The sequence below is a fragment of the Homo sapiens genome, chromosome 1, assembly GCF_000001405.40.
Source record: "Homo sapiens chromosome 1, GRCh38.p14 Primary Assembly".
NCBI classification, from domain to species: Eukaryota; Metazoa; Chordata; class Mammalia; order Primates; family Hominidae; genus Homo; species Homo sapiens.
The window spans coordinates 169,298,473-169,324,066 of NC_000001.11; the positions used below are offsets into that span (position 1 = coordinate 169,298,473).

At 34.4% G+C, this 25,594-nt stretch overlaps 1 protein-coding gene across 3 annotated transcripts in view; it reads right to left on the reverse strand.

The window, feature by feature from the left end:
• Positions 1–25,594, reverse strand: part of NME7 (NME/NM23 family member 7) — a 235,267-nt gene that overhangs the window by 165,942 nt on the left and 43,731 nt on the right. For all 3 annotated transcript variants that reach the window (NR_104229.2, NM_197972.3, NM_013330.5), the window contains exons 3-6: positions 24,645–24,811; positions 11,498–11,608; positions 4,673–4,723; positions 84–291 (exon numbers count right to left, since the gene is read on the reverse strand). Coding sequence is in view for 2 of the 3 variants with exons in the window: in NM_197972.3 (NP_932076.1) it covers positions 84–291; positions 4,673–4,723; positions 11,498–11,608; positions 24,645–24,811 (537 nt within the window). In the remaining variant the exon portion in view is untranslated. The remainder of the gene's footprint in view (positions 1–83; positions 292–4,672; positions 4,724–11,497; positions 11,609–24,644; positions 24,812–25,594) is intronic.

Below are 25,594 nucleotides of genomic sequence, written 5' to 3' on the forward strand. Positions count from 1 at the left end.
CACCAGTGATAGAAATGCTTTCCTTTGATATAAAACATTTAACAGAACTAGAAGAGCATTAAAATATTTTTAAAACACCTTACTCTGGCCGCAGAAGCAAAAGAATCAGGGCCATGCGCTGCATTTCTTATGCCATCTGTTCCAAAGAGGGCTCTAATGCTTTCAGAAGCATCTGTGCGTGCCACTCCAGAGTTTGCAGGTCCCAGCAGTCTTTTCCATTCACATATAGCATCATCTCTTAAAATCTCCATGGCAATAATAGGACCAGTTGTAATAAACTGGATCAGCTCACTACAAAACAGATAGAAGATTAGTTTGCTTCTTTTTTCTGTCAACTAGGTATTTGTCTTAACGACAGGATATATTTAAATTGGATTATTTCAACATAGACATGAATATTATAATCTTAGAACCATTAAGCATAGTTAATTTTACATGGGCAGGAGAAATTTTTCATAAATTGAGTGTCTTGCAGTGGCTCAATTCACTTCAAATCACTAGTAATGTCAAATTACTGTTACCAGAAAAATCACTGTTCTGTTGAATTAAGACTATTTCATGACTTAAAATGCATACTGTTGACCTATGCTTTTCCCAGTGCTCTAACAGGTACAGAGGATTTTCCTTTTTATTTACATGTGTTTACCACTGCAGTCAAGTACAATTTCACAATATATAGGGATGGATGCCTTGTAACATATTTTTAGTAAGAATTTATTTATTTTTGTGTAAAACTATTAGAATTCAAAGACTGACAAAGAACTCTCTTAATCAATAAACACTGAGCTGGTTTGGTGATAAAAAAAAAAATCCCCAGCAGGCTTCAAGAAATATCCTTTTATTAGCGTAAAAACTACTCTGGGTTATTTCTGTATTAAATTATTAAAGTGTACGCATCGGTTCTTGACTAAAAATCCAGCACTGAGTCACAGTCCCCCAAGGTATAAAAGACAATACTTCATTTTATTTTCTACTTTTATATGTGTACAGGATGCAATGACAAGTTTAACTATGAAATAAGTGACATCCTCCCTCTGACTATATTAAGCAGGGACACAGTACTTTTTAGAGTAAGCCCATGGTTTTCTCTCATCCAAAGTAGAGAGAAGAGATCCTCCTGGAGAAAGGAGCATGGTGTGACAGGCTCTTTTGTGCCCACTAACTTATGACTATTTTTTACACACTTCCTTCCACCCTGCATGTTATATGTCAGCTCCCCTCAGTACTTCCTTTTTAAAACACTCCCATTCATTTTGAAGAATATTTCTAAAAAACAGCATGTACAAAAAAGTATTCTTGTCTTCTATCCTAAGAGTTCTATAATACCTCCTCATACATTTTCTGCCAGACCTTTGCTGCCAAAACAAACAAAACCCCCAAGACCAACCACTAGATTTAAAAAAACCCAAATCAAAGGAGCAAACCATGTTTATTCACTCAATAAGCATTTAATAATTGCCTATAACATATCAGCGTCTGTGCCACAAAAAAGATCCCCCTTCAAGACACTTACAATCTAACGCCCTATTAATACAAAATTCTCAAAACACACAATTGAATAAGCCTATGAATATGGCATGTAACAATATAGGGAAGGATGTGCCTGATCATAGATACTGCTTCATGAAAATTTAATTACTTCACCTAGTCTTTTGTTACATCATTCTCATTAACAGGCAACTAGTTAATTCATTCCTTTAATAAAATTTACTGCATGCAAATCACACATAAATCATTAGACTAGGAGTTGTAAGTTAATGCTATAAACATATACAAAGTTTATACCAAAAGATAATTTCCACCAATTTTCTAGAAAAGTGTATATAGCTATTCTAAGAAGGCTTAGGAATATTTTATAACACTTGATTTGAAATAATCTATAGCATAATAATTTTCTTACATACAAATTTTTTTAAAAACCCACTACTCAGTGCAGGATATCAAATAACATGTCTACTGTGGCCATTTAGTTTGGCTGATGTAACATTCTTTCTTATTAGAAGTGTAAACAGTCTTTGGCAACAGTAATAATAATATGAGCATGCAAAATATTCACTTAAATTTAATTACATGTCAAATATTTAGAATACATAAAGTGTAACATATATTATCTGTTCTATGTCAAGGAACAAAATATATATCAAACTAGTTAAAATAGAAAGGTTCCATGAACATTGCTTTATGTATACAAGACTACCAAAATAGTTTAAAAGTACAACAGGCTACAGTAACCAAAACATCATGGTACTGGTACAAAAACAGACACATAGATCACTGGAACATAATAGAGAACCCAGAAATAAAGCCACACATCTACAGCCATCTGAACTTTGACAAAGTCAACAAAAATAAGCAATGGAGAAAGGATTCTCTATTCAATAAATGGTGCTGGGATACCTGTCTAGCCATAAGCAGAAGAAAGAAACTGGCCCCTTAACATTAACCATATACAAAACTTTACTCAAGATGGATTAAAGATTTAAAAGTAAGACCTCAAACTATAAGAATCCTAGAAGAAAACCTAGGAAACACCATTCTGGACATTGGCCTGGGGAAAGAATTTATGACTAAGTCCTCAAAAGTAATGGCAACGAAAACAAAAATTGACGAGTGGGACTAAAGAGCTTCTGCACAGAAAGCTTCTGCACTAGCAACAGAGTAAAAAGACAATCCACAGAATGAGAGAAAATATTCACAAACTATGCATTCAACAAAGGACTAATATGCAGAATCTGTAACGACCTTAAATAATCAAACAAGCATGAAACAACCCCACTAAAAAAAGAGCAAAAGACATAAATACACACTTCTCAAAAGAACATACAAGCAGCCAATAAGCATACGAAAAAACGCTCAATATCACTAATCATCGGAGAAATGCAAATCAAAACCACAATGAGATACCATTTCACACCAGTCAGAATGGTTATTATTAAAAAGTCAAAAAATAACATGCTGGCAAGACTATAGAGGAAAGAGAATGCTTATACACGGTTGGTGGGAATATTAATTACTCCAGCCATTGTGGAAAGCAGTGTGGATATTTCTCAAAGAACTTAAAACAGAGCTACCATTTAACCTAGCAATTCCATTACTGGGTATATACCCAAAAGAAAAGAAATTCTGCCAAAAAGACACATGCCCTCATACACTCATTGCTGTGCTATTCACAATAGCAAATACATGGAAATAACTCAAGTGCCCATCAGTGGCAGATTGGATAAAGAAAATGTGGTATATATATATAACACAGAATTCTACACAGCCATAAAAAAATAAAATTATGTCCTTGGCAATAATATGGACACAATTGGAGGCCATAATCCTAAACAAATTAATCCACAAACAGAAAACCAAATGCTGCATGTTCGCACTTACAAGTAGGAGCTAAACATTAAACACACATAGACACAAATTTGGGGGTAATAGACACTGTGGACTACTAGAGGAGAGAAGGCAGGTGGTTTGAAAAACTACCTATTGGGTACTATACTCACTACCTGGATGATGGGATCCATACTCCAAACCTCAGCATCACACAATATTCCCACGTAACAAATCTGCATGTGTACCCCCTGTATCTAAAATAGAAGTTGATTTTTTTTTAAAAAAAAAGTCAAAAAACGACAGATATGCTGGCAAGTCTGTAGAGAAAGGGAACACACTTATACACTGTTGATGGAAATGCAAATTAGTACCTCAACCACTGTAGAAAATAGTTTGGAGTTTTTTCAAAGGACTTAAAACAGAACTACCATTTGAACCTTAAATCCCATTACTGCTATATATCCAAAAGAAAACAAACCTTTCTACCAAAAAGATACATGCACTTGCCTGTTCATTGCAGCACTATACAAAATAGCAAAGACATGGAATCAACCCAGGCGCCCATCAGTGGTGAACTGGATAAAAAAAATGTGGTACATATACACCATGGAATACCATGCTGCAATAAAAAAGAATGAAATCATGGTCTCTGCAACAACATGAATGGAGATGGAGGCCATTATCCTAAGCAAATTAACGCAGAACAGAAAACCAAATACCACATGTTCTTACTTATAAGTGGGAACTAAATAATGGCTACTCATGGACAATAATATCTATTGATGGCAACAACAGACACTGGGGACTACTAGAGTGGGAGAAAGGGAAGGGAGCAAGGGTTGAAAAACTAACTATTGGGTATTACGCTCAGTACCTGGGTAATGGGATCAATTGTACCCCAAACCTCAGCATCACACAATATACCCAGGTAACAAACCTGCACATGTACCCCCTGAATCTAAAGTAAAAGTTGACATAAAAAATAAAAATTAAAAAAATTAAAAGCCCCACAAACACAAAAGCATAATAAAAATATTGAACATCAAATATAATTATCACTCCATTTTTAATCAACCAAAAATTTTAAAAGTTATCCTTCTTGTAATGTAAACAAATCTTTCTATTTGCAACTGATTAAACTTTAAGATTTTTAATGATAAAATATAGGAATTCTTACTTAATAAAAAGACAGAGAATATAATTCTTAGAATTCTGTGCAGTTGCAAGATGTTGCTATGGCCCTTTTGACAGATTATTCTCAAGTAATAAATTTTACAAATGTAACTCCATAGTTTTCTAGGATATCCTCCTTTACATACCACTAATCCCCAAATTAAGGACCTACTTGAAAAAGGGTCTTGACTGGTGATCTACATGAAAATCCAATGCTTCTTTCCTATAAAATAATCAAAAAGGCAATAGTTAAGAATTATAAAATTAAACACTTATTATTTTAGCTTACATTAATAAAATTAAGATAAAATCCTCTCAATTTATACTAATTTATATTTTAATTAATAATTTTTCACCAAATATTCTGTCAAAGCCACTCTTTTAAAATATTTTTTAAGTATGAGTAATATCAATGTAAATAAAAATTAATGTAGGAGGCAATGTTTACTTTTCTACTTATGTTATATATTGTCTATCTTCTTCTTTTTTTTTTTTTTTTTTTTTTTAGATTGAGTTACCCAGGCCAGAGTGCAGTGGCACGATCTTGGCGCTCGCTACAACCTCCACCTCCTGGGTTCAAGCAGTTCTCCTGTTTTAGCCTCCCAAGTCGCTGGAATTACAGGCGTGTGCCACAATGCCCAGCTAATTTTTGTACTTTTACTAGAGATGGGGTTTCACCATGCTGGCCAGGCTGGTCTCAAACTCCTGACCTCAGGTGATCCACCCACCTCGGCCTCTCAAAGTGCTGGGATTACAGGCATGAGCCACCGCACCTGGCCTTATCCATCTTTTTACACAGCATCCTGAACGTTCTAGAAACAAAGGTTAATATTTGACCAGTGAGAATATTTGTTCTTTAAAGTCTAAATAAGTTGCATCAAAAAAATGCAAAGCCATCTTCTAATTAAAAATTTGTCATTTTTTTCCACAGGCTTTAAACTTAAGAGCTTAGGCTAGAATTTTAATTTAATGTTTATAGCTTTTTTTCTTAGCTAGGTCTCTCCAAAGGAAAGACTACAGTCGTGTTTTTAAAAGCTGCCTGAGAAATTATGTATCTTAATATGTTTTTATTTTATTGGTTACTAATGCTTTAACTGACATCACTAAAAAAGGGGAGAATATGGAAACATTTAGAATTCAGAGTTTATTAATTGTAACAGGGATTTATTTTTACATTTATATTACCACTAAAGAATATCTACAGCGGCAATAAAAGAATGCATTTTAAACTGATTAGCTAAAAAGTCTAAAAAACTTTTTTTAAAAGCAAACCAGATGACTCTCCTAACACTGTGTAGTTTTCTTAAAGGCTTTGAACTGGGTTCACAGTATGTGACAAATATATGTAAACATTAACTACTTTTAAAACTGGAAACTGTTCCCTAGCAAAGAATCAACCTTTCAGGCTTGAGAATTCATTTGATATGCAATGCTTTTAAGATTTTATCAGGATATTACAAAATGAATTTACATAACAAGTTATATCACGCATACTCTCATTCTAACCAAATGTACTTAAACATTCATTTGGCTATGAAGAGATTATGAAATATGTAATGCCAATATAGAGAATAAAATTCATCCCGAGACATGGAAAGGAGAAAAAAATCAAAATTTTCTAGAGCCAATTATAGCCATGATTAAATTATTATATTTATTCCTTACAACAATATATTGAAATAGGTGTGATCACCTTTATTTTACATCGGAAAAGAATAAAGTTCAGCATGGTTACATAAGTTGTCCAGTTCACAAAGCTAGTAAGGACAAGACAAGAAGATTTGAACCCAAAGCTCTCTGATTGCAAATTTCTGACTGCTTATGCTCTTGCTACTACTAACTGTAGAACAACATTCTAGAGGGTAAAGAGAAAAACTCACAAAAAAAGAGATACGTATATACTGCATTACAGCCTAAAATGGGGTAAAACTGAATAACTGAAAAACTTACATGGAGAGTAAATTAGAAGAGTTAGCAGAAGAATACTAAAACAACCAATTCTAAGCTTTTCAAACGCAAAAAACTGAACTACAAGAAAGGAAAAAGCAATCATAATCTTTAACGTCATTGAAAAGAAAAACCTCAATCCATTACTAAAAATGTTTCATTGTTTTCATCCAACATGTCCCTGATTCCATAGTTATCTCCATTCAAAATCTAAAATTGAAACCACGATGAGAGTTCATAAATTTTTTCCCATCATTCTTATCTAATTCTTTGCTTTAAAGGTTTAGAAGGAAATAGGTATTAACAAGTGAATCACTATCTAGAGAAGTTTTTTGTTGTTTTGTTATGTTTTGTTGTGTTTTTATGAAGAAACTAACCATTCTTTCACAAAGATCTATCCATTAACCCTTTCAAGAAATATTTACTTAATGCCAACCTTGATTGAGGCACTGATCCAAGAACTAGAAATACAAAGTCATACAGAACTCAGCAGCTATCTTCTGGATATTGTCATCATGGCGGAACCGACATTTGAACAAACAATTTTAGAAAAGATGCATACATTGTGAGAAATTCCTCCAGGTGAGTTTCTCTCTTCTAACTTGTCTTATCGGGTATGCCAAGAATGCAAGGACCTGACTGATCTTCATCGGTGTCGTTTCTCAGGATTGTGTTTGCAACAAGAAACCTTGAGGGATAAGGTAAAGCCTCTCTTCAGTATAAAGAGTAGGCTTGTTTATTGCTTGCTAATGGAACAGCTGGTAACCCAAGCTCACTCCTCCTCAGTTGTGATGCCACCCTCTAGATACACAGTATACACCTGGGCATTGGTCATTTTATTCCTGTAGGATATGGAGGCAAGGAGAACCAATATAAACACAATGCTCATGCTGCTTGCTCTACCATTATAAAGTCTTTTGTCTCTGACCCAGAAGTCTCATGTCATCTGCTAACATCCATGGAAGAGTTACAGGTAACTTCCTAGCTTATAAATTGGATGAAATCTCAAGCTCAACATACTAATAAAAATATATGAAGTGATATGAATGATTAGATAAGCAGTTAAGTTTTCTTGGGAATTAGTTTCCATGAGACATTTGAGTTGGTTCTGAACGATGAATAGGAATGGATGAGACAGAAGACAAGGCAGAGCATTCAAGACAGTACAATATTATGTACAAGAAAACTGAGATGTGATAAAGCACAACATGTTCAGGGAACTGAAACCTAAGTATCCTCTTAGAGCTATTACAGTAGGTGAGTACAGATGACTAAGAGTCTTGTATACTCTATCAAAGAGCTTGTCTGCTTGACCATATTTTCCTGCATATGGGAAACCACTGACGGATTTAAGGAAGGGAATGGTAACATGTTCAAATTTTCATTTTATGAGGTTCATTCTAATGGCAATAAGAAAATGGCATGGAGCAATCTTGAGGTAGGAAATGAGCCATCAAGGAATAGAAGGTAGTAAGTCAAGAAGTAGACAAATCAGTCAGTAGCCTATGTTGATACGTTGAAAGCCTGAATATGAGCCTATAAAATGCCTAAACTAAGGGGCTGCAATAGGAATTATAAGGAGAGAATTGCTCCCAGAGATATACAGAAAGCAGAAGTAAAAATATTTATATATCAGGTAGGTATGAGGAATGGGGGAGCAGCAAGATGAATCTAGGATCACTTTCAGATTGACAGTTGCAGAGAGAAGTCAAGGCTGAAGATGTATTTGGAATTCATCTATAAGTAAGTGGTAGGTGATCATATGGACATGCATGGGACTACTCAAGTAAAGTTGTAAAGAAAATAACATACAACAAGCTGGATGCAGTGGCTCATGCCTGTAATTCTAGCACTTTGGGAGTACAAGGCAGGAGACTCACTTGAGGCCAGTTCGAGACTAGCCTGGGCAACAAAGCGAGACCACGTTTTTTAAAAAAACAAAAAGCAAGGATCTGGAGGAATACCTAATTGAAATCATAGTGACCGTCACTGAGATGGGAAAGCAAATAGAGCAGAGCCCTGGATGATCACTGACAGAGATGTTGAAGTCATCCCAACTGTCAGGAGACACTGGAATAGAAGGAGACTATAAACAAAGTGCCCAAATCTTTAACAAATGTGGAGTTTGTGAACTGTAGAATGGAAATGAGGCTCAGTGGATGGTAAAACAACTAAATAACATGAATTTCCAAGGATGAAGAAGAGTATAGATTTTTAGGAGAGAGCTAAAATACGCTATATCGTGACCCTGTGACATAAGAAACATTTGTGAGTGAGCAGCCTACAGGGCTAAAAGGAAAGGAATGTCCCTGGAGAAGGGTCAGATTTCAACTAAACTAAAAATGTGCGGGCAAAGATACACTCTGTTAAGACACTATGGACATAGGGATATTTGTTCACAATGAAACTTGATTTCCAGAGGGGCCAGTGAAAATGGTTTGGTAAGAGATTTGTGTTCAGAAGACTATGGGAAAAGGAAGTGCATAACTACAAATGAACAGGTGTGTCAACAAGTAATTAGAAGGGCTTGCATCTGTGGTACTCCAAAGAATGAAGTATTTCAAAAGGCATGGGTGGAATTAACAAGACTTAAGGTTTCAAAGAAACTAGCAAATGTATGCCCTATGGTGCTCTTGAAGTGTTTGCTGGTTTTAGCATTTTTCTTCATGTGCTATAGGGCCATTATGATAAACAAGTAGCATCTTTACCACAGGAAGTTAGATACCAAGTCATCAGACACTAGAAGTATAGAGACACTAAACTCATGTAACCCTCACAACTACTTTATGAGATAGGTACTATTATAAATCCCATTTTAAGCCAGGCGCGGTGGCTCATGCCTGTAATCCCAGCAATTTGGGAGGCTGAGGCGGGTGAATCATTTGAGGTCAGGAGTTCAAGACTAGCTTGGCCAACATGGCGAAACTCCGTCTCTACTAAAAATACAAAAATTACCCGGGCGTGGTGGTGTGCTCCTGTAGTTCCAGCTACTTGGGAGGCCAAGGCAGGAGAATTGCTTGAACCTGGGAGGTGGAGGTTGCAGTGAGCCGAAATCGTGCCACTACACTCCAGCCTGGGCAACAGAGCAAGACTCCATCTCAAAAAAAAAAAAAAAAATCCCATTTTGCAAATGAAGAAATAAACACAGTGGTCAACTGTTCAGTCACACACCTAGTAAGTAGCACAGTTACAAGCAATCTGGTCTAAATACTGTGCTCTGAAATGTAAGCCTCCTGTCTCTCTAGAAAATATGTAAACTAGGAGATCATACATAAGGGAAAAATTCCAATTAAACATGTCATTGTCAGGGTAAAATGGAGGGTTTTGTGTTAAAGTTTCTCGGAATCAGATGTATTGAAGCTGACTTGAATGTCTACTGCTCCCCATTGTCCCTGCTCTCACAGAAACAAAAATGCAACTGACCCATGGAATAAATCCAGAAATGAATGATTTATTGAAGCATTAAGAAGATATCTGACCAAAAACAAACAAAAACTAGTGGAGAAACATAAGAACACTATTGGAGCCAGATCTGCCTAACTGCTACATTCCTGTCCCTAGAGACACTCTGTGTTACACTCAGCCAACCAGAGGGTGATCCCAGGAAACAAAGGCCTCTGTCCTATACTCATCTCCCTTCTTCATCTTCCAGAATGTTTCAGTCTTTGCTTTGTCCATTTGGTAGGAAATTTTTTAAAAACAAATGTCCAATATCATGGAAAAATCACTAGTTTTTTTTCTAAAGGATCTCTAAAAAAAACTGAAGAGAAGGTTTTCCCTATCCTTTGTTTGTACGTTGTTAATATTCTCCTTGCCATTCTTACGGGGTTAGAGTTACTTACTTCATGATAGAAAGGGATAAGTAAATGTATAAGTCTTATTTTCACTAAATAACTTAGAAAATATCTGGTCAAACAGGTTGTACTGCTTGTTAGATAGGTATATTTACCTATCTAGGTAAAAAATAAATAGGTATATTTGCCTATTATTTATAATAAGAAGAGCTAAATGTAAACATTTCCAAATGCATCATCTTTGGAAATCTCAACAGTAAATCCTCTTGTCAAATAAAAATAATCAGACATCATTTCCTCTATTAATTTTATACAGTGTGTTATCCTTATATATTAAGAAATGATTATAATTATCAAGCACTGGTGTTATAAAAGCAGATGGGGTTTTGAAAGACAATAATAATTAAATGAGGCATGCATAATTTGACAACTCCTAATTACTTAGACTTCAGTGGTTATTTATGCATCTGATTACTTGGTGTCTTATTGTTCTTTTCTTTCTTCTTTTTCTTTTTGTTGCCTGGTGTAATGCCTACATGACAGCTGAATTTCTACCCTGTCCTAACTTTGCTTATCTTTAAGAAACAGGACTTCTGCAATAAAAGGTTCCCTTTACAACCAGACCAGTTAAGACTGGTTAGAACCAAGATATGCAACCAAATGACATCAAAAAGACCTCGGGCTTCATTATAATCTCATTTTCATACTATATGGCACTCCCACCAGCACCATGACAGCTGAAAATCACCATGACAATGACCGGAAGAGGCCATAAAAAGACAAAAAGGAAAGCAGCACTGCGATTCACCATCAATTGTGAAACTGGTGGAAGTTCACCACCAATTTCCAGAAAAGACATGCATATTGCTCCTCTTGCTTTTCATGTCCTTTATTAGAGAAATCCTTTATTTTAACCCCCTCACCCCTCACTAGTTGAGAAGTTGATTTGTGAGCCACACTCCTGTTTCTCAATTCCACAGACACTGAATAAAGCCTGCACTGCTTGATACTCACTTTCGGTTTTGTATATGGGCTTCATGACACTGAATAGGAAAAGATCAAATCTTTTAGGGGGCCGGCTTTGTCAGTAACATTCTAGATGAACTCCTGTCAGTTCCCATTTTGGTTAAGTTACTATTCTATTCTTTGTCATTCAATACGAGGTTTTTTAATTTTAAACAATGACAAGAAAGACAGAAAATGATTTTTTAAAAAGGAATCAGACATTACATAACTGAAAATGATAAAAAAATTACCTTGAAAGCATCATCATTTTGAGTTTGGTTATAGTAAATCCAGCTTTGTTTATTATTTCAATTATTTCTCCAGCCTTTGATATTGCATCTGGTTTAATTAGGGCTAGCGTTCTATAAGGAAACAAAAAATAAGTTTGCAAATAAAAATAGTTCAACAGTTTTTATTTATAATTCCCAAGCAGCAGTATTCTCAACAATCATCCTAGATCATCAAAATTTGAAATTAATTGTATAGAAAAGTGTATTAAAGACATCCCTTAAAAACTTACACAAAGTAAGCTTAGTATTTTTCCCATGAACATCAAAATTAGATACTAAACTTGGGGGAGGGAGAAGCTTAGGAAAAAAAGCACTAAAATTTAATTATTTTTAATATATCCAAATGAGAAAACACAGGCATTTAGAATCTCCATTTCTTAGAATACATTTTATACAAAGGACTAATCTCTAAAACATTGCATTAAATATATTATGAGCTTGGTTTTTGGTCTCTTAGACTTCAACATATGTATGCTATATAGTCAGTTCAACATTGATTTGGAAATAATTATAAATTCTTCTATTGACTCTTTATTCATAACATGGGTGACTGCATGAAGAATCAAATGTCTTCTTATACAACAATGTATATGAATACGTAACAACATGCTAACTTTTAAAATCATGTTTTTCTCCAGGAGGATACATCAGAACAATGCATTCTCCACTCTCCCCCTCTGAAGATTCAGAATTAAGAGAAATTTGGAGATGAAGATCACCTGAGTGTCCTCATTTTACTAATGATGAAACTAGGCCTACCAAGGTAACATGACAAAGGTTACACAGCTGGTCAGCAACATTTTCAGGACAAAACACCCAGTTTACCAGACTCCTAGGTCTGTCCTTCCACATCACAAATAATGTTACTATTAATATTATTAAAAAGGGGCATCATCACCAAATCCTCAAGAATACTATTTGCAAATGCAACATAAAAACTATATTAGCTGGAGTAATTCTGCTTTTGTGATAAAGAATTGCTGCTACTTTTCCCTCTGCATTTCCAGTTGTTCTTATAACACTGGCATTAATTCAAGGAATCCATAAAAGGAGAAAGGTTGGTCTTTTCATTTTGGATTTTTTTCACCAATAAGACAAACTTAGCTCAGGATAAAATTCAAATATCCTGGCCGGGCGCGGTGGCTCACGCCTGTAATCCCAGCACTTTGGGAGGCCGAGGCAGGCGGATCAAGAGGTCAGGAGATCGAGACCATCCTGGCTAACACGGTGAAACCCCGTCTCTACTAAAAATACAAAAAATTAGCCAGGCAAGGTGGCGGGCTACTACTAGTCCCAGCTACTAAGGAGGTTGAGGCAGGAGAATGATGTGAACCCGGGGGTCGGAGCCTGCAGTGAGCCAAGATAGCACCACTGCACTCCAGCCTGGGCGACAGCGAGACTCCATCTCAAAAAAAAAAAAAAAAAAAAAAATCAAATATCCTTACTTAAATTGGATATAGCTTATGGCTGAGTTTTAAAACTGTAATAACAAAAGAAATTGTTCATCTTAGTGTGTTTATTACAAATTATACCAGATAATGTTTTTCTTTATTTTAAAGCAGATGAGTCAGTTATATTACTTTATATTGTCTGGCTTCATTGAAAACACACTTAAAACTCTTCACTTTTTAATTCATATTATTTAAATATTTTAATCCAGACTAACCTATAAACTGTTTATGCTAAACTCTGGAAGAACATTTCACTGACCATGGCTCTTAAAGAAAAAATAAAACATGGCAGTAGTCATCAATGTCTATAAACAAGAAGCAATGTGAAAAGTCTAAAATTGACAAACAGCTTAAAATGTAATCTGATTTTCTCTTAAATGCCTACAAGAGACAAAGGATTGACTATGTGATAAATAACTCTAAATAAATTCCTCTGTCATGTCTTTGCTGCTTAATTTTTCAGTAAGTAATAGTAAATTGTATTTTGGAGGGAAAATAAGAGAGAGATCAGCATCATATGTGTTAATTTAAAAATAAAGACAGCACATGAAGAAACAATAGGGTGACAAAGATATATCAGTAGTATCTCTGTTATCTGTAACTGCATAACAAACCATCCACATATGTAGTGGCGTAAAACAACAATTTCTCAAGGTTCTGTAGGTAGGCTGTGCAATGGTTTCACCTAGGATCATTCACACAGCTGTATTCAGCTAGTGGGCCAGCTGGGGGCTGTGCTCAGCTGAGACAACTAGGCTTTTCTTTCCTGTGGTCCTTAAGGAGGCTAGAGCAGGCCTCTTCAAATACCACCACACATCAACCAATGTACAGGCAATTATCAAGTGTCCCCTTGAGTCATTTTTGCTGACATATCTTTGGCCAATGCAAGTCACGTGGTCAAGCTCAGAGTCACTGTGAGAGAAAACCACAAGGTATGATTCATTGAGAGCCATCAGTGTAACAATCTACCACTTAGTAATCCTCTTGCCTGCACTGAGGCAAGCACTGTAAGATGCAGCGTGAGATATTCTCAAAAGAAAACAAAACATTATAAAAACCACTATTTAAGATTAAAACTTCTTAGCAATACACGGTAACTACTTCTTGTGAAAAAACAGTATGGCCAGCCTTCACGAACCCAGAATATAGATTTCCAGAAAATAACAATTCTCACAGAGCTATGCAATAAATGTCTTCATATACCATCAGGTTCTGAGCAAAAATTGCAGCAAATATATTTCTGAGAAAGATGACTGATTGCAGTACAATAAATGTCCCAGACAGTATAGTGCTATTGCTATGTAATAAAGTCTTAGATAGTACAGTGCTATTAAACATCTTAGATAGTGCAGTGCTATGGACTCTTTAAATGCCATTGACCAAAAAGAATAAATATGTAAACTTTAATCTATATGGGATTCATATTTGTCTTAAGTAAATATTCTATTCTAAACCTATTCTAAAAGTAAACCTATTCTAAACATCAAGGCTAAATTTTTGGTTTTTCTCATACTTTGTTTACAAGCATAAAGTGTATATCTGCCCCATGGATAAAGGAAAACTGTCTCAAATGAGGCACCTGTAATTTGGTGGAAAATTCAGTGATCAAGACTTTTGCTTGGCAACAATAGCAAAATTATTCAGAACAATTCTTCCACCAAAAACTAAAAAAGTTGATATTTTTAAAAAATCTTTTAAAAATTAAAGATAAATTGACTAGATCATAAATAATTACTGGGACAAAAGTGAAAAAAAAAAAAAAACAACCAAAGAATGAAAAGTAAGAATGAAAGTTGTTTTTGACTTGACAGCATTGCCTATCTGGAAAATCTGAACTTTGATTTGCAGTACATCATTGGGAAAGGGTAACAGAACCCAAGAGATGATCCTTCCTAAAATAATTTGGACCCAAAGGCTATACCACCCCCGCTTAAGGTGAATCAGAAACAACCAGGTCTTGAATGGCAATACAAGTTCACATCATCTAAGCAGTCTCAAAACTTAGAATTTTTGAACTACCAATCATACAGACTGCTAATGCCTATGGGAAAAAGACAGAAGCAAAGACAATTAATTCCCTCCTAGTAGGAAAGTAATGTCATCCTGTACCTCAAATAATTCATATGAAAATGCATATCTCACATATATTATTTACATATATGCAATACACCCACACATACACACATGGCAATCATATAGAAAGATAATCACACAGACACATACACACATACAGGGAAAAGGCCAACATGAGGGAAAACCAGGAGAAACAACAGAAAAGAGAGAGACCCACAAATACTTCAGATACTAGGATAATCAGAGAAAAACTGTAAAGTATCTGTGCAAACTATGGTTAAAGGACTAAAAGACAAGCTACAAAACATTATCAGGTAATAGAAAACTGTAAGCTACAAAATGGAATAAGCAGATCTGAAAAAGAATATATTAGAATATCTTGTGATGAAAATACAATAATGAAAATGAGAACTAGATAAAGGGTTTGACAGAAGAAAGCAGATTCAGAATGAAGCACAGAGAAACAAAAAGATACAACAGAGATAAGAAAATAGTTTCATGAATGTAAGTGAAATAAAGACATTTTCAGATGAGTGCAAACTGAGTTTTCTATTAGTAAACACACTCAAAAGGAAAATATTTTTTAAAAATGTAATTTAAGCAAAGGTAAAATAATCCCAAACAGAATGTTTGAGATAAAAGAAAGGATAAAAAGCAAAAAGTGAAGAAACCTAAATGAATACTCATTACATAAAACAATAATAGTAAATCATTAGGTTCATGGAAAAAAAACAAAAAAAAATACACAACAAAAACAGCATATAATTCAGCAAAAATCCCAACAAAAATTGAGCTAAAGTCTTCTGAGATTCTTAGATTTTAAAGAAGGAGGTTAAAATATTAATTAGATTTAAGCTTTATCAAGTTAAGTACATATGTTGTAGTTTCTAGTGTAAATACTAACTGTATATAGAAAAAAAATAGATGAAAAAAATCCTCAAGCAATCCGAACAATCAAAAATAAGATAATAAAACAGGCAGGAGAAGAAAGCTCAGGATAAGATGTCAGAGTTAAAGCCAAGTATATTAGTAGTTACGTTACAAATAAGTGCTCTACAGTAGATGCAGATTATAAAACTGTATTTATAAAAAAATTTTTTTAAAAAGATAATCTGATTGGATTTTAAAGCCTAGATGATAGGTTGAAAGGTGCAGCAAACCACCATGGCACATGTATACCTATGTAATAAACCTGTACATTCTGCACACGTATCCCGGAACTTAAAGAAAAAAAAAGATATAAAAAACAAACAAACAAAAACAAAAACTAATGAAAGGCACACATAGAAGAGAATACTGAAAATCTAAAGTAAAAAGAATGGAAAAGGTATACCATGCGAATGTTAACTAAAAGAAAGCCAGTGCAGCTATAGTAATATCAGAGAAAGTACAGTTTAAAGTAAAAGGCATTGCTAGAGATGAAGATGGTCTCTTCATAGTAATAAAAGATTCAATTTACCAAGAAGATATAACAATTTAAATCACCTAGTAACATACCCTTAAAATTATAATATAAAGACTAACATAACTACAAGAAGAAATAGACAAATGATAATTACATTAGAAAATTTTAATAAAACCTTGGCAATTGATAGAATAAGCTGCCCAAAAATTAGTAAATATGTGAAAGATTTGAACATCACAATTCACAGACTTCACCTAATGAATAAATATATAAAACTATACAAAACAACTGCAGACTAAACATTCCTTTCTTTTCTTTCTTTCTTTTTTTTTTTTCTTTTTTTTTGAGATGGAGTCTCGCTGTGTCACCCAGGCTGGAGTGCAGTGGTGCCATCTCAGCTCACTACAACCTCCACCTCCCGGGTTCAAGCAATTCTCCCACTCAGCCTCCCAAGCAGCTGGGACTATAGGCACACGCCTCCACGGCCGGCTAATTTTTGTAATTTTTTAGTAGAGACAAGGTTTCACCACATTGGCCAGGCTGGTCTCCAACTCCTGACCTCAACTGATCCACCCGCCTCAGCCTCCCAAAGTGCTGGGATTACAAGCGTGAGCCACCACACCTGGCCTAAACATTCTTTTCTAACACACATAGATCATTAATAATTGACTATTCTAAGCCAGAGGCAAATCTTAACCAGTTTGAAAGGCAAAAATCATGAAGAATATGTCCTCTAGACACATGCAATTCAGCTAGATTCCAATACAAAAAGAGAAAAACAAATCTCCGTATGTTTGGAAATAAACATAATTCTAAATAAATAATAAACCAAAGAAGACAACACAAAGAAAGTAAAAAATGTTTCAAACTGAATAAAAATTACATATCAAAAATAATAGGATATAGTTATAAGCAGTTAGAAGGAAATTTATACCCTTAATTGCATATATTAAAAATATTAAAAATTGATAGAATATATAATTCTGTAACTACTAATAGCAGAAAAGGGGAATAAAGAAAATTGGTCAATAACCATCAACTTAGAATTGTGTGTCTAGCAATAGTATCATTAAAGAAAGAGGGTAAAATAAAAAACGTGCAGATTAAAAAGAAACGGGTAGTTTACAATGAAGAAATGAAGAATAACAAGAAGAGAAAATATTCTAAAAGGACAGGTTGATATGCAAGAAAAATTGGTGAACAAATGTTTAGGTAAATCTAAGCAAATGTTGTTTCTATCAAAATAAATAAATAAATAAATAAAAGAATGTCTAACATGCAGGCAAAAAAACTGAATGTCCAAAAACAACAATAATAACAAAACTATGTAAGATTTAAGAGAGAAGATTAGAGCTAAAGTGTCCTAATCTTGTTGTATGAGTTGGGAGAGAGCCATATTATTATAGAACTGTAAGTTAAATATATGAAAAAATTTCAAGCCTAACCAATAAAGAACAAGTATAAAAATCACATAACCTCTAAAGCAACAGAGAATATAGTAGGCAGAATAACACTACCCCTCAAAAATGTCCACATTATAATCTCCAGAACGTATAAATATATTACCTCACCTGCCAAAAAGGACTTTGCAGATGTGATTAAGATTACAGGCCTTGAGATAGTAGAGATTATTCTGGATTATTCCCCTGGGCCCAATCTCATCACATGAGTCCCTAAAGTCAGAGAATCTTTCCTAGCTTTAGAGAACCAGAGAGATGTCAGTGTGAGGAGGACTCAAGCCTGCTATTGGTGGCTTTGAAGATGGAGAAAGGTGGCCCCAAACCAAGGAATGTGGATGGCTTCAAGATGTTGGAATGTGCAAGGAAATTGATTCTTTCCTAGAGCCTCAAGAGAAATGCAGTCTTATCAACACCTGATCTTTACCTGATGAGATCTGATTGGACTTCTGACAGAACTGTAAGATCATAAATTTGTATTGTTTAAGTGACTAACTTGGTAGTAATTTGTTATAACTTCAATAGAAAACCATATAATAGAAAAAAAAAACTGAAGAGAGGAAGAAAAATTTCTTCAACTAATCCAAAGAAAAGGCAAGAAGAAAAAAATAGAAAAACAGGAAAACAGTAAAATAGAAACATATACAAAAATAACAATAATCACAGCATATTTCAATGTACATGTATTAACTTTACCAATGAAAATATAACCATTCCAGATTAAATTGAAAAAAAACCTATATGTTATTTACAAGAGACATATCTAAAGCATAACAGGGCAAGTATAAAAGAGATGGCAAAAAGATATTAATTAACCCAAATACGCTATCAATCAAACCCTTTCTAAGGAAAGATGGCTCAAGCTGGAGCTGAAAAGGAAATTCAACTCTAATCTGTTAACTGACCAAGGACCATATGACTGAGAATTGTAGAATGGAAAGGCAGAATTCTTATTTTACAGAAAAAAATATCAATTTCTCCCTGGGAATTTAATAATGAGAAGGCATTCTTCATTGTATTATTTGGGAGGCAGTTACACTGTTGTTGGGTCTATCGTATAATCAATAGCATGCCATCTTAGACAACGATACTATAGATAAGTAAAGATGAGAAAAAGATTGGGGGTGAGTTTTTAGCAAGGCCTCTGTTACTGAACTAAGGTATTCCTCTAAGGCATTAGGGTGCCCTTCTGCAGCCAAAACTCAACTGCTCACCACTGGTCCTAGGACAATATACAAAGCAACAGTAATTGGTATTGAGGGAAAGGTTTCCCAAAGGTGAGAGCAAGACTAAACTAATATTCATCTGGTCTGTTCCCCGAGAAGTAGCCATAGTCTACTAGAGCATGGCAGCCAATTGGCTTAAAGGTATAAAACCCAGAAAACAACTAGGAATGTGTACTCTTGCTCCTCATGAGTAAAGTAACTTCTATCCCTGTTCCCATAAGAAAGTGCTCTCTCTCTCTACTTCTTCCATTTGCTTCTCCATGTCCGGCCATATTTAAGGGTTTCTGGTTATTTGTGGCCCGACCTCTTTTTTCTCAGACCTGCAGACCCTCAAGTAGGGGATAGTGTACAAGTAAGGGATAGCGTATTGTTCTCCTGCTTTCACATGTTAAGCACATTGGAATCAGAGTCCGGCACCTGCAGTGGAAGCCTGTTTCTCTCTAGTGCTCTCTCTCCTGTGCTCCATGGGCTGGGAGGCAGGATGAGAACCCTGGGCAAGTATGCCCTTAGTTTGTTCTGTAGATCCAACTTTTCCTCAGGCAGGCCTCAAGTTCCAGATCAGTGTAAGGGATAGAGGAAATAGGAATAGAAAGAAAGCCTCAACCATTCTCAAACACGCTTTCACAAGACAGCCTAAGTAAAATTAATACTTAATATTTTGATCTACATCTATCTCCTGTGTTAGTTCTTCATCAGTTAGTAATTTGGAGGGAAGAATGGAGACTAACTGAGCTCAAGAGATGACAAGAAGCTGTTTTAAGGAGGAATGTAAAAGATAAAAAAGAGAAGAGAAATAAGAGAGATCTATGAAGGAGACAAGTAAATTGGTAAGATTAGGTCCCCATGTGGATTTAGGGATAAAATACATATGGAACTCAAGGACAGCCACCAATTTTGTAAGTATGTAATTAGGTGAATATTGTGTTAGTGCATACAGAAGTAGGTTTTTCAATGAAAGAGAATTAATTTAATTTTGAATTTGTCAATTAATTCAATTTTGGATTTTTAAGTTCCTGTGAAAAATCTACATGGAAACGTTCAGGAAAAAGCTTAAACATATGGTTTTACAGCTGGGGTGATGACATAAATTTGGAAAGCAACACATTGTTGAAGTCATGGAGTACATAGAATCCCCTGGGAGAGTATATAGAATGAGAAAAAAAGGGCCATGAACAGAACCCTGGGGAATACCAGGAGTCTTTTTTGCCTCTGAGAAGGAATGACTCTGAGAAAAAATAGCCAGAGAGATAGAGATGGAAGCAGCGGTGGGGGTAGCGGTGGTGAAGTGCCATAACAACCAGGGGAAGACAGAATAATAATTTTTAAAGTATTCTAAACTTAATTTATTCCAGTTGGGATGGAAGAACAGAAGAGGTACATTTTTTGTATTTATTAAAATTAAATTTAATTTAATTTTAATTTTAATTTTAATTTTAATTTAATTTTTAAATTTAATTTTAATTAAAATTAAAATGTCTTTTAAGTCATTCATACATTATGATATCCCAATACTGTAATCCTGCTAAACTATATAATACCTGAACACTGAAGTTGTTTCAAACTTGATATAGCCAAGATTTTATGACATTTCCTTCCAATGAAATTTCTTCAAACATATATCTGATGATACTGCCAAATCTTCACATAGAAAAAACGTATAGTTCATATGAGTCAAATTCTAATATTAGAAAATGTATGTTCATCCATAAGAATTGTTAAACTACATAAGTCTAGAAAACATATAAAGTATTATTTCAGTACCTTTTAAAAAATTATCAATTAAGCAAATGCTTGGAATTTTTGGGCTGTATTTAAAAATTCAAAAGGTGATTTAGTTCAAAAGGTTATTTAGGTCAATCTCCCTACCTCCAGGGAGAAGTATTCTTAAGCCCCTTCCAAGCACAGGTCTCATCTAAAATACGGCTTGTTTTTTTATCCATATACCATTTCAGTACATCTCCAAGAGGACAGGAAAATGCATACTGTGACTGAGTTCCTGCTGTGATGGAGCCTCAAATAACTTGGGCTTAGACCTTGGGATCAAAGATTATACACACAGTTGACTTCATAATTTTTCTTCTGAAAAACAGGGGGGTCTTCCTTTCACTGAAAGTTAATAGATGGGCACAAGAATTTCATGTATTTAACATCTACTATAATGTTGTTCACCCAACCTACTGATGCCTTTCTCCCTTTAATTTGATTAGATGGCTTGCTTTCTGGCTGAGACTCAAAAGGAATGAGGATTGCTCAATGTAAATATGTGGCTCAGTACTTAAAATTAATGGATTTTTAAATAGGATACTAGCATTATTTTTCATTGATTTTTATAAACTTCTTACTAAAGATATAAGCTATCAAAGTAAACATTTAATACCTCACTTATCACATGGGGAATAGCTGTCTATTCATATAAAATTCCTCTATCATTCATACACATGCATACATATACATATTGACTCATCATATGAAAACTTTAATTATTTCTGGTTTGAGGTAATAAATTTTTAGAAAGACACAAATTGTATCGTGTCTCCAAATCTAAACAACAATCATAAAGCACCAATTAATTACTAGCTAAAATTAAAATCAAAGACTGACTCATTGACAACTTGTAACCTTTATCCATTTGATTAGAGGATCTTTATAAAGAGAGGATAAAAATGTGAATCAAATGTCAGATTTCTACAGTCAAAGGGAATTGGAAAGCTGAAGCTAGTTCATGAGTTAAGCTGAATTATATTAAATTATCTGGATAACTGCTCCCCAATTAGCTGATAGGCTCCATGGGGATCAATTTCACTCATCCTCCTCACTACAGGCTTTACTATAGAAAGAAAAGAGTTGAAAATGTAATTGGTTCAAAAATTTTTCTCAACACTATACAAAACTGAGAACTAGACTAAATCGGTTGTTACATAGAAGGTGTTTCTGTGGAACGCTGATAGACATACACACATATTTCCATATGCTTACTTTTTGCCATTTAAATAAAACAATAAATTTTTGAAACTCTTCGGTTTGGAAGAAGTTTATTTAAATCACCCAAATGGTTGTTGGATTTACTAACCCATATGCAATTAAGAAAGAATAAGAAGAGAAAATGGTGAATCAATTTGAGTCAGTAAAATATATACTACATATATTTTCATTTTCATTAACTATATAAAGCCCAAATACTTCAAATTTGTTTTTACATTAAAATAGAATTCTTCTGTTCATCCTGTTTTAAAATCAGTCCCATTCAACAGTATTTGCCAGCATATTAATTAGAGGTTTAGTAGAAAGAGAATGAATTTTAGGGAAAAACAAAACACGGTTTTCTGGTTTCCCTTTACTTTCTAGCTGTGTTACTGTGGACAAGTTACTTACCCATTCTATAAAATAGATTTAACAACATTCACTTCAGTCAAATCATAGTTAAAATACATAAATTATAATTTTTATGGTTGTTATTTTATTTTTCTTAGGTCAGACTGTTAACCCTGACTCCCTAACTCACTTATTTTGCTAGTTTAAATAAAAATTTAAAGCAGTCTTCCAGCCTGGGCAAGAAGGCCAAACTCCATCTCTAGCAAAATACCAAAAAATTAGCCAGGAATAGTGGTGCATGGCTGTAGTTCCAGCTACCTGGGAGGCTTAGATGGGAGGATCACTTGAGCATGGGAAGTCAAGGGTGCAGTGGGCTATGATCATGCCACTTCACTTCAGCCTGGGTGACAGAGCCAGACCCCACCTCAAAAATAACAATAATTAAATAAAATAAAGTAGTCTTGAACTGAGGTGTATGTAAAGTGCATATCATAGTGTCTGGCACATAGTATGTGCTCCATAAATGAATGCTACACATATTTATGAGTTTTAAATAAAGGAATTATGGTTGGCATTTCTTTAATCCCAAAGACTTTTACATAAGATCTCATAACATTAAAAGATTCCTATTTATTTATCTAATACCTGAAATTTCTGTCCTATTTCAAAGAGAGTCTTTGGTCTTCCTTTTTAATGAGGCATGCACCACCCCTCTGATCCATCACCATTTGTGTACTAACACCCACACTAAGAATCCAATCACCTCAAGAGCTATAAAGTGCTTATACAGAAAGACTATGGAAGTCACAGAAAGAGATATCATATTACTATAAGAGTGACTCAGACGTTAGGCAATCAGCTAGTCATTTGAGTAGTAGATCTCAAAAAATAGTTTGATTGATTTGTTTTCCCTATTGAATTAAATCATTTTTGGAGCCTTTTATACATATAGCCTTAACTTCTACAAATAATCCCTATTTTAATTACAGCACCAATCACTCTACAGGAAAAAAAAACTCCCCAAACCATACAAAGTATAAGCTACAGAAATTAAAGCCAAGAAAGATGACAAAGGAATTAAAATTTCACTTCAAATATAATTAATTCTAGTCTCAGAAAGTTGAAATTCATAAATGTAGAGACTGAAAATTAAAATGTCATCTTGCTAATACTGAAAATCAGTATTCAGAAGGAAAACATCAAAAATCCTTGTTTTCTTGTTTTCTATAAGTCTAATTTTCAGCTGTATCTACAAGTTGTTCTTTCTCTTCCATTTTTTTTCTTAGCCCCTTTTACAGATGACTGTATCTCTTCTAAATCAAAACTGAGAAAAAGAATGATGAATGCAGCTTTGACAAACAATAGAGAGAAGAACAGGGACACATGTGGAGGCACCATGTCACAGTTTCTCTCACAGAAAGAGCCACATGCAGTGGGAGGAAGATAGGGAGGCGGGGATGCCAGCCAGTGGGAAACTCTTCCTTTAGACATACCGTACCTCCAGACATTTCGATGACATAAATTTATTCATTCATATATTTAACAAACTTTTGTGGGTCACACTCTGTGAATAATTTACTGTTTGAGGTATCACTACAACAGTTTTTAGGGATACAGTTATGAATAAGATACATCAGTCTCCCTGTATCATAATTTCTTTATATGGTTTCTTTTTTTTTTCCTTTTTACAACACTCACATTGTCATTTTTCAATTGATCCGTTGGTCAACATCTATTAGATATAAATATATATATATATATCTGTTAACAAAACTTGACAATAGGCAGCATTAGTTACAAACAATCTAGGCAAAAACCTCCTGGTCAACTAGATCAAAGATCATCATTTGAAAACAGGGAGAAAGTGGAAAAAGGAAAGAATAGATCATAGATTTTAAATTGTGATTCATTAATTCGTTCAGCTAATACAGACAAGGTGCTTGCAATGTGGATGGAGATGTGCTAAGTGCCACAGGAGACATAAACATGAATTAAGTCAGATGAGACATGCACAACTATGGTATTATCAATTTTTTTTTAAATTGAAAAAAAGAAAAAGAATGAAGACAACCATTTTCCAGGTCCTATCCATCCTCATATGGTTACATACTCCCAGTCTTGATTCAGATTGACTTTGAACCCAAAGTTAGAGCATGTAAAAAGATTATATAATTGTTTTCTTACTTTTCTTTCCTACTGCCCAGCTGGCGAGCTGTATATTGATCCCCATAGTCAATTAATACCAGTTGTCGAGAAAAGACATTCACTTTGTTGCCTATAAATAAATCTTCCAAGTGCAGGTTATCATATTTGGTCCGCTTTAAAAAGGTGCGATGATTCTTTACATCATGCTAGAACCAGACACAACAATATAACAAACAAACAAAAAAAGTTATGAATAAGGAAAGTTAATCTCATCATAAGGTAGAAATAATTCTTAATTCTGTCTTATCAAAGATAGGTTATATTCTGTTTCTTTTTTGTTACAAATATAAATCATAATTTTTAATAACTTCCATATTTCCTAATCCAATCTGGTAATAACATAAAAGCTTCTTATTACAAATTTAATACTCTTAAAAACCTGAATAGAAAGATTTGTTTATTACCAAATCATTTCAGCAAAGTAGTCCTTACAAAATGCTAAAGAAAGAGTCATACACCCAAATTTCTGCTTTCTTGTGTACACAAAATCCCAATACCAAAAAGATCTACTTGTTAAAATTGTGTTGCCAGTGAAAGAACACAAAGAAACAGAAGTCTCTTAGCTTGAGCCTCTTCAATTTGACTTTTTGTAGCAATAACAGCTTTCAATAATGAGGACGTATTTATGACCATAATAATCCTTATCTATAATCACTTGTTTATTTCTTATCCAAAACATGAATAATCCCATTTCAGTCTTTTTTTTTTTTTTTTTTTTTTTTTTGAGACAAGAGTCTCATGCAGTCGCCCAGGCAGGACAGGCAGGAGTGCAGTGGCGTGATCTCAGCTCACTGCCACCTCCACCTCCTGAGTTCAAGCTATTCTCCTGCCTCAGCCTCCCGAGTAGCTGGGATTACAGGCATGTGCCACCACACCCGGCTAATTTTTTGTATCTTTAGTAGAGATGGGTTTTCACCATGTTGGCCAGG